Source organism: Homo sapiens, chromosome 2 (assembly GCF_000001405.40).
Source record: "Homo sapiens chromosome 2, GRCh38.p14 Primary Assembly".
NCBI classification, from domain to species: Eukaryota; Metazoa; Chordata; class Mammalia; order Primates; family Hominidae; genus Homo; species Homo sapiens.
The window spans coordinates 149,854,730-149,865,605 of NC_000002.12; the positions used below are offsets into that span (position 1 = coordinate 149,854,730).

Consider the following 10,876-nt stretch of genomic DNA (forward strand, 5'->3'; position numbering starts at 1 on the left):
TACCTAGGAATCCAACTTACAAGGGACGTGAAGGACCTCTTCAAGGAGAACTACAAACCACTGCTCAAGGAAATAAAAGAGGATACAAACAAATGGAAGAACATTCCATGCTCATGGGTAGGAAGAATCAATATCGTGAAAATGGCCATACTGCCCAAGGTAATTTACAGATTCAATGCCATCCCCATCAAGCTACCAATGCCTTTCTTCACAGAATTGGAAAAAACTACTTGAAAGTTCATATGGAACTAAAAAAGAGCCCGCATCGCCAAGTCAATCCTAAGCCAAAAGTACAAAGCTGGAGGCATCACACTACCTGACTTCAAACTATACTACAAGCCTACAGTAACCAAAACAGCATGGTACTGGTACCAAAACAGAGATATAGATCAATGGAACAGAACAGAGCCCTCAGAAATAACACCGCCTATCTACAACTATCTGATCTTTGACAAACCTGAGAAAAACAAGCAATGGGGAAAGGATTCCCTATTTAATAAATGGTGCTGGGAAAACTGGCTAGCCATATGTAGAAAGCTGAAACTGGATCCCTTCCTTACACCTTATACAAAAATCAATTCAAGATGGATTAAAGACTTAAACGTTAGGCCTAAAACCATAAAAACCCTAGAAGAAAACCTAGGCATTACCCTTCAGGACATAGGCATGGGCAAGGACTTCATGTCTAAAACACCAAAAGCAATGGCAACACAAGACAAAATTGACAAATGGGATCTAATTAAACTAAAGAGCTTCTGCACAGCAAAAGAAACTACCATCAGAGTGAACAGGCAACCTACAAAATGGGAGAAAATTTTCGCAACCTACCCATCTGACAAAGGGCTAATATCCAGAATCTACAATGAACTCAAACAAATTTACAAGAAAAAAACAAACAACCCCATCAAAAAGTGGACGAAGGATATGAACAGACACTTCTCAAAAGAAGACATTTATGTAGCCAAAAAACACATGAAAAAATGCTCATCATCACTGGCCATCAGAGAAATGCAAATCAAAACCACAATGAGATACCATCTCACACCAGTTAGAATGGCAATCATTAAAAAGTCAGGAAACAACAGGTGCTGGAGAGGATGTGGAGAAATAGGAACACTTTTACACTGTTGGTGGGACTGTAAACTAGTTCAACCATTGTGGAAGTCAGTGTGGCGATTCCTCAGGGATCTAGAACTGGAAATACCATTTGACCCAGTAATCCCATTACTGGGTATATACCCAAAGGATTATAAATCATGCTGCTATAAAGACACATGCACACGTATGTTTATTGCGGCATTATTCACAATAGCAAAGACTTGGAACCATGCCAAATGTCTCACAATAATAGACTGGATTAAGAAAATGTGGCACATATACACCATGGAATACTATGCAGCCATAAAAAAGGATGAGTTCATGTCCTTTGTAGGGACATGGATGAAATTGGAAATCATCATTCTCAGTAAACTATCGCAAGAACAAAAAACCAAACACCGCATATTCTCACTCATAGGTGGGAATTGAACAATGAGATCACATGGACACAGGAAGGGGAATATCACACTCTGGGGACTGTTGTGGGGTGGGGGGAGGGATAGCATTGGGGGATATACCTAATGCTAGATGACGTGTTAGTGGGTGCTGCACACCAGCATGGCACATGTATACATATGTAACTAACCTGCACAATGTGCACATGTATCCTAAAACTTAAAGTATAATAAAAAAAAAAAAGAAAAACAAGAATTCAATAGTTTCCAAATGTCTTGTCTGTTTCTTCTTTTATCCTGTCTCCTCTCCACCTACCCTTCCATGATTGCTGCATGTACACACATAGAGTACTTTAATTTGTGAGCATCTGTTCACCCGATTTGAATTCCATATTCTCTAGGGGAAATACTGTTATGCAACGAGCATAAAATGAGTTGCAGTACCATTAGTAGCAACAAAGGTGGGGAGGGGGGTCTCTTACCTGAGGTGCTGCTTTGAAAACATCCTCTAATACTCTTGGCTTTCCTAATTAAGTGCTATCACCTCTGCAGATGGTAAAATTATGTATGTATTTTGCTGAATTCCCTTAGCAAGGATGCTTTCATTGGGGGAGTTTAATAAGAATGATATTCTTTGAGGGAAAAAAGAAAAACACTGGCTACTTATGATATCACATTGAGATGGCTATCACGGCACGATTGCAGTGTTGTTTTGTTTAAATGTTACATTGATTTTTGTCTCTTTTCTGTCCTTCCTAAGTCCCCTAAGGGATAGGCAAAAAGGACTGCTGGTAGCCTTTCCCCACTGAAACCTGGAAATTTAATTCAATAAGATCTCACTGGAATCTGAACATTTAAGTCCAAGTAAATATCACCTAAAAGTTATTTTTAAAGGGCTACATGAATTTTTAAATTATGCTAAAAGATTGAGTATCATAATGAAGAAACATGTTTTTAAGGGAGATTTAAAAGGAGGAGAAGTCTAGTCCAACTCTAAACTCCTGCCCTTCTCCATAATCAACACATTTACCAAAAGCCAGAAACATACATAATTTCTACTAATTTTCAGAGAAAAAAAATCTTACTATAGTTATATAATTTATTATCTAAATTTGGATATTTAAAAAAACATAAGTGGGAACTTTTTAAACATCTATTAAAACAACATGCATAACCTAGAACTGTCCTAAGCAAACTAGGTAAGTAGAAGTATAGCCGCCCTACTTACCTTCATCCTGTAGATACACACAGTTGGTTCTGGAACCATTGCTGCAAATCCTTCTCCAGCTTGGTGGAGAAGTCACTATGGAGCTGGCACATTGCTGCTGAGTCATCCCCTCCTTCACCTCATAACTCATCATCTAATTGTGTTTCTATGTTTTCAGAAAGTTGAGGCTCAGGAAAAGTAAGCAACTTTCTCTCCACCTCTCAGCAACCTATGCACTATACTTCCCTTATCTTTTATAAGTATCCATCCTGTAGTTTCTAGATCCTCAGTGAATTATGACATCACTAACACTCCCAGGGATGTAGTTTGAAGAGTATAATTTTTTTCCCCTAGCACTCAGTACTTATACTAATTTCTAGATCTCGAGACCTGATTGATTGTCTTGAGCACTTTCATATTCAGAGTGATCCTCAACAGTGAAGTTTTAATATTTCTTTCTTGATAATAGGAGATAAACTAAATATGTGTTTCAGTATACTCATGGAGATAAAGTCTTTTAACAAGCCCAAGTTCAGGAACTGTGGTTATCAACATTGTTTCTAGATGATGGCTTCTTTTGCTCCTTCTTGAATGGAGTTTTAATGTTGTTAGTGTTTAGAGAGAAAGGTCTAACGTTTAGGACTCTTGGCCCTGCCAAACTTCCTTCCCTTAAGAGCAATGCCAGGAATAAACTCTTAAGAACAGAGGGGCAAACTAACAGTAAAGGCACAAGGGGCAATGCTTAAGCTGAGTCTTAAGGGACTAATTTTCCTCATCTTTAGAATCCTGCATAGACAGAGGTTCCACAGCATTTAGGAGAATATTGAAAACTGGGAGCTTCTGCAAGATGAGTGAGGAATTTGTGGGGACTGGCACTGAAGGAGCCCAAGTAACATGCTAAGAAGCTAGACTTTATTCTGTGTCCACTAGGGAATAACTGAGGAATGTTAAGCAAGAGAGAGATGTATATATAGTATGCAACTTTTAAAAAGAAGTCAGGAGACTGTGAAGAGCTGGATTGTAGGGTGTAACATGATGCCAGAAGTGTAGCTAGGAGACTCTTGGAAAAGCTTGGATAAGAGGACAGATCTGAGCTAAACATCTGACTGAGAAGATTAATAGAAATGCATGAATCAGCAAGAGATTCAGGTACTAAACTTATAGGTCTAGGTTTCTGCAAAAAAAAAAAAAAAAAAAAAAAAATGTAGTGAAACTATATAGAACCACTTAAGGAAGCACTGTATTACCAAAAATAGAAAAGAAGAAGATGACTAGCAGATTTCTGGCTATGGAAACAGGGCAATTGTTGGCATTTTAAACTGAGGTAAGGATTACTGAAAAAAGAGGGACTATTGGTAAGAAATGAGTAAAAATGATAAGTGAAATCTGAATGTATTAATTTCATTTGTTCATATGACACTGGACACAGATGTCCAGAAACTTATTCGTAAGTGTCATCAAGTCCAATGCTCTTCTTTAAATGCATGATAATACTAAGATTAAGAGGAAGGAAGTAAATTTAGAAAGATCACCCAAAGTCTTACAGAGCTGGAATTGAAACAGGAAGCTTCCGAGAGTCAATCCAGAATCTTTTTCTCTGAGTCAAAGCTTACCATGTCTTGCTGTTGTTTATTTAGTTAGTTAAAAGAAAAGTTGGTTGACCTAATAACAGGATTTTAATTCCAGGAAGGATTTTGCTTGAGTGTTGCCTTTTTGCCTAAGTTATTGCTATGTATGCTAGCTGTGTTTCAGCATTAATTGCATTTAGAAATGGTATAAATCCTGCTTTTGGAGCAAAATTCTATAAGAAGATGACACATCTCTGTGATGTCACAGTATCCTGAGAGGGTTTCTAAAGGCTATTGCTGAAAGAGTCATAATGTTCAGTTTGGGTGTCCCCATTTCCTCTTTTGTTTTATTCTGTTCAGCTGTTTTGGAATCAAGCAGAGGAAGTAACCCAAAGTGCATCTGGTTTAGAAGGATTCTCGAACTTCCCTCTCCAACATCTGCCTTGCTATGGGATCATTAAACAGAAGGCGACCTCACAAATAGCCGTTTGTCAAACAAGCAGCCTGTTTTTCTCGTGAGAAATGCCCTTTTGCCTAATATGGGTGTTGAAACTGTCGCTCATCAAAAGTAAAGTGTTTGCCCCTCATGGGTGAGCACTAGTAATGGGAATGTGACTAGTTCTGCAAAGTGAAGGCAGATGTTTGCAGAGAGGAGTCAACATTGAGAAAGTTTTTTAGAATCACATAAAAATATTATTAATAAAATATAACCTTTCTTAAGAAATAAAAAGCCCACAGCGGATCTTTCAGGCTTCAGTGAGGGCTGTTTATTTCAAAGGGTATTTTTCACAGTTGTTTCCATCCCAGTGATTCTAAAATGATACTTATTTAAAGTTATGGTGACTCAACGACATTTCTTTGGTTGTTTTGTTGTTTGAAGATTATTAGAAAATGGCAACATCTTAGCGTATTAGGTTCAATTTTAGTCAGTGGTATATTTTCATAATCCCATTTTTATAAGTATCAAAACATGTTGTAGATATTTAGATTGATATCAGACAGTGGCTTTGTTCAAGTTGGATGAGCCAAACAGGACTTGCACATTTTAAGGTGTCGGTTTTGATTTTTACCTTGTAAGTCTCTTTGTCTTTGGCTTCTGCCCATGAATTTCTGCTTAGCCAGAAAACATTGTGTGTTTGGTATTTTGTTGTTGTTTGGTTTTACTTTGTGTTATTGGCTATAGTTAAGGCAAACCTAGATGTTCATATTTATTCAATGTATAACCTTGTTTTGGGGTAAATTCTTTGGCTGAATCACTCCACACCAAATGCACAAACCTGTATATATCCACCCTGAAGCATGTCTCTACTTTAGGGTGATACAATCTTGACCTGTAACAAGTCTTTCTTTCCACTCGTGACATCAAGGTTATGAGTCCTACAATCACTTTAGTTGATGGAGTTCTCCACAATGTGTTGCAGGGCCTGGTGGTTAGGACTATGTTCCTATATTAGCCTCTCTGCGTGGCATGCTTACTAAAATGTGCACCAGTGGCTCTGACCTCTTTGATCACATGACGAAAGGGAAGGGGAGAGAGAGGGAAGGCTCTGTGATTATCTGATTCCCATGGAAGTTTTCCTTGTTTTGTTGCTGGAGCACTACAAGGCAAATGCTACTCACTTCTTTCAAGAAATCCCAGCTGCAGAGGAGTTGCTGACCACAACAGGGGCTGTTGCCAAAACACTCTACTGGAGTGCTGCTGTGGCCTAGAAATAGCTGCAAATAATGAGAAGTTCTCAGAAAAAAAAAGAAAAAAGAAAAACAAAAGCTCATGGAAAGATTTTAAGATAAAAGGAGTCTTATCTGTGGTTATGTATATACAAACACAGTTTGTGGGTTTGGAGACCAAGGCCATACTTTGGTTCATACTGTTCAGGCTCCTTTGTTCTAGCTGGATTAGGAAAACTTTTTCTCTTGGCTTAGATGACATCAGGTCTTAATTGGTGGCTCTGTAGTATTTTATTTTTAAAATGTACGAACTATAAAAAGGTAAGCTGCACTTAATAATTTGGTTACCGTATTAGTCCATTCTCACATTGCTATAAAGAACTACCTGATATTAGGTAATTTACAAAGAAAAGAGGTTTAATTGGTGAACAGTTCCACAGGCTGTACAGGAAGCGTGGCTGGGGAGGCCTCAGGAAACTAACAATCATGGCAGAAGGCAAAGTGGAAGCCAGCATGTCCTACATGGCTGGAGCAGGAGGAATAGAGAGAAAAGGGAAGTGCTACACATTTTGCAACAACCAGATCTCAGGAGAACTCACTCACTATCAGGGGAACAACAAGGGGAAAGTCCATCCCTGTGATCCAATCACCTCCCACCAGGTCCCCACTCCGACACTGGGGATTATTATTTCCCACAAGATTTGGGAGGGGACAGAATTAAAAACCATATCAGTTACTTTTTATAGAGAAGGTAAACTTTGATATCATAGCTGTGGTTAGAATATACAGGTTGTTCAGTTGTTTTGCTCTAATCCATGATGTTATATCTCTGTGTTGCTGAAAAAATTTCTTCAGATCTTGACATGTAACAAGTCTTTCTTTCCACTTGTGACATCAAGGTTATGTTTTCAGTTTACTTTGACTCTAAACATGTCATTAATCCCAGCCTGTAAATGGAATATGGAATAGGGAAGAAAAAAGTATTTAACTGGGTGCATCACTATTATTTCTCCAAGCTGTAGGCATGACCTTGGGATGATGACACCCAAGAAGAAGAGGATGAAAAGCTTCCTCCATAAAATGTGCAATAATAGAAGTTTTTGGTGAATGGGTACTTGGGGCTTTTAGGAAATCGATAAATAATGTCCTTTTTTTTTCTCCTGAGTTTGGAAAAATAAGACAGAAGCCAAACAAGTGAAGAATAAAAAATTACTTTCATTATTCATAAAGATTGAATCAGAGAATACAATTTAATATGTAGCAAAGTGGACATCTAATATTTTCTGTACTTTCCGTAATGGATTCAGTCTAGCACTCAGAACTCTAGGCATTCCTCTTGCAGGAATCGGGGCAATCCACATGGTTGAGAGCAGGACACAGCGCCCTCTCTGTACACATAGCCATCCCTATAAGAGATCAAAGCCCACAAGGCCTTCCTTAAAACTCACATCACATCAACTCATTCTTCCACAAGGAAGTATGGAAAAGATTGGGAACAGAGGCCAGAGGAAAGCACAGAAAGTCCGTTATGGAAATATGAGGCAAGGGAAGTTGAGACCCTTTAAACATTCATTAGCAGCATAAAGATAGAAGTGAATTATAGTTGGTAAAGGGAGAAAAATGTCAGCATCTTAGAAGTTCTAGGAGTGAGGTAGACCATGAACCTACTAGGTAAGGAGGTTAAAAATGGAGGAGGACAGCCAGGTGTAGTGGCTCCCGCTTGTAATCCCAGCACTTTGGGAGGCCAAGGTGGGCGGATCACCTGAGGTCAGGAGTTTGAGACCAGCCTGACCAACATGGAGAAACCCCATCTCTACTAAAAATACAAAATTAGCCTGGTGTGGTGGCGCATGACTGTAATCTCAGCTACTTGGGAGGCTTAGGCAAGAGAATCACTTGAACCTGGGAGGCGGAGGTTGCGGTGAGCCAAGATCGCACCATTGCACTCCAGTTTGGGCAACAAGAGTGAAAATCTGTCTCAGAAAAAAAAAAAAAAAAAGAGGAGGAGGACAACAGAAGGTGGTGAATAAAGGCCAGTTTTTAGAGCCACCTTTGCTGATTCAGATGGGCAAGTAGAAGGCTGAACCGATTGATGGATTTAAGGGGCTAAGAGTACAGAAGTTGGAGTCCAAGTTCTGTTGAGGAGCAAATCCAGGTGGCCCTTGCTTTTTTCAGGTTTGAAACTCTTGAAGGGCTGCACCCTAGGAGAAAGGATTAACTAAAAGTTAACAGATTCTCACAGAAACTGCAGCTTATTTTGGAATTCTCTTAATTCCTATACTTAAATTGAGATGATTTTAATTTGCACATGCTCACAGGCGTGTGGCAGAAATAAACAAAAATACTCCCTAATGGATGATAACACCATATTAGTTCTGAGTTTACTTTCACAAACAATATTACAAATACAATTTCTGGCTGATAATAAAACATTCATACATACTAAGAGACAAGATAACATGAATGGGAACAAATTGAAACACTGAACAATATAAATAGATCTTCAGGTTTCCAGATATTGGTGTTATCAGATACAGACCTTAGCATAACTATGCTTTCTATTGCTCAAGGGAAAAAGAGACAATATGCAGAATTATGTCAAAAGTAAAAAATAAAACTTTACAAGGAAACAATAGTGAAGTTTTAAATTTTAAAAATACAGTAATCCAAATTAGGAACTCAATAGATGAGTTTAATAGCAGATTAGATGCACCTACAGAAAGAATTAGTAAAATGAAGTACAGGTCAGGAGAAAATATTCGGAATGAATAGAGAGACTAAACGAATGGAATATAGAGAAAAGAGAATAACAGAGTACACAATGAGAATGTGAAATATTTGTAATGGAAATCTTAGAAGAAAAGGAGTGAGAAAACAGGGGAAAATAAATATTTAAAAGAGAGTGGCTAAGAATTTTCAAAAACCTGATGAAAGACACAAAGCCTCATCCACAAACCCTGAAAACCCAATCACCATAAATAAATAGAAGGCATATCTAGATAAGTAATTATAAAATTATTGAATAAAAAGGCATAGAAAAGTAAATTCTCTAGGGCAGGATTGTTGTTATTGTTAGTGCTAAAAAGACAAAGTAAATGTAAAGGAACAACAATAAGGCTGAGAGCTGATCTACTTAACATAAACAATGCAGCCAAGAGGAATTATACCTTTAAAGTGTTGAAAGAAAATAACTGCCAACCCATAAACTGATACCTAGTGGGAATAATGCTTAAAAAAAGAAGGTAAAGTGAAAACATTAAGGTGCTTCTTCATCAGCAGGCCCACAATGAAATAAATATTAATGAGTATACTTTAAGCAGAAGAAAAATGACTATATCTGGAAGTTCAGAGGTGCTTCCAAGAGCAACAAAAATGGCAAATATATCATTCAATAAATTAATACTCTCTACACAAAATAAAGTCTGTCATTTAATATTTATACATGACAGATTTAAAAATAAATGAAACCATGTCATATGATATGGTTAGGTTTTGTGTTCCCACCCAAAGCTTTTTTTGAATTGTAATCCCCAGTTGTTGAGGGAGAGACCTGGTGGGAGGCGACTGGATCATGAGGGCAGTTTCCCCCATGCTGTTATTGTGATAGTGAGGGAGTTTTCATGAGATCTGATGGTTTTATAAATGGCAGTTCCCCTGGGTTTTTCTCTTTGTTTCTCCGGCTGCCTTGTGAAGAGGTGCCTGCTTCCCCTTTTGCCTTTCATCATGATTGTAAGTTTCCTGAGGTCTCCCCAGCCTGCAGAACTGTGAGTCAATTAAACCTCTTTTGTTTATAAATTACCCAGACTCGGGTAGTGTCTTTATACCAGTGTAAGAATGGAATAATACAACATCTAAGTTGGGAGAATCAAATAGAAATAATATACATTAAGATTTTTACAGATGCAGAAAAGGCCTTTGACAAAGTTTAACAGCCCTGCATGCTAAAAACTCTCAATAAACAAGATATTGCTGGAACACATCTCAAAATAATAAGAGCTATTTATGACAAACCCACAGCCAATATCATACTGAATGGGCAAAAACTGGAAGCATTCCCTTTGAAAACGAGCACAAGACAAGGATACCCTCTCTCACCACTCCTATTCAACATAGTATTGGAAATTCTGGCCAGGGCAATCAGTCAAGAGAAAGAAATAAGGGATATTCAAATAGGAAGAGAGGAAGTCAAATTGTCCCGGTTTGCAGATGACATGATTGTATAGTTAGAAAACCCCATCATCTCAGCCCAAAATCTCCTTAAGCTGATAAGCAACTTCAGCAAAGTCTTAGGATACAAAATCAATATGCAAACATCACAAGCATTCCTATACACCAATAATAAATGGAGAGCCAAATCATGAGTGAACTCCCATTAACAATTGCTACAAAGAAAATAAAATACCTAGGAATCCAACTTACAAGGGATGTGAAGGACCTCTTCGAGGAGAACTACAAACCACTGCTCAAGGAAATAAGAGAGGACACAAATGGAAAAACATTCCATGCTCATGGATAGAAAGAATTAATACCGTGAAAATGGCCATACTGCTCAAAGTAATTTATAAATTCAATGCTATCCCTATCGAGCTACCACTGAGTTTCTTCACAGAATTGGAAAAAACTACTTTAAATTTCATTTGGAACCAAAGAAGAGCCCACACAGCCAAGACAATCCTAAGCAAAAAGAACAAAGCTGGAGGCATCATGCTACCTGACTTCAAACCATACTACAAGGCTGCAGTAACCAAAACAGGGTACTGCTACCAAAACAGATATATAGTCCAATGGAACAGAACACAGGCCTTAGAAATAACGCCATACATCTACAACCATCTGATCTTCAACAAACCTGACAAAAACAAGCAATGGAGAAAGGATTCCCTATTTAATAAGTGGTGCTGGGAAAACTGGCTAGTCATATGCAGAAAACTGAAACTGGA

At 38.0% G+C, this 10,876-nt stretch overlaps 1 long non-coding RNA gene across 1 annotated transcript in view; it reads right to left on the reverse strand.

The window, feature by feature from the left end:
* LINC01931 (long intergenic non-protein coding RNA 1931) overlaps nucleotides 1-4,462 on the reverse strand; it is a 91,686-nt gene extending 87,224 nt beyond the window's left edge. Inside the window, exons 1-2 of the long non-coding RNA NR_145421.1 lie at nucleotides 4,314-4,462; nucleotides 2,722-3,874 (exon numbers count right to left, since the gene is read on the reverse strand). This is a non-coding gene — a long non-coding RNA (long intergenic non-protein coding RNA 1931). The remainder of the gene's footprint in view (nucleotides 1-2,721; nucleotides 3,875-4,313) is intronic.
* Between the last annotated feature and the right edge of the window lie 6,414 nt (nucleotides 4,463-10,876).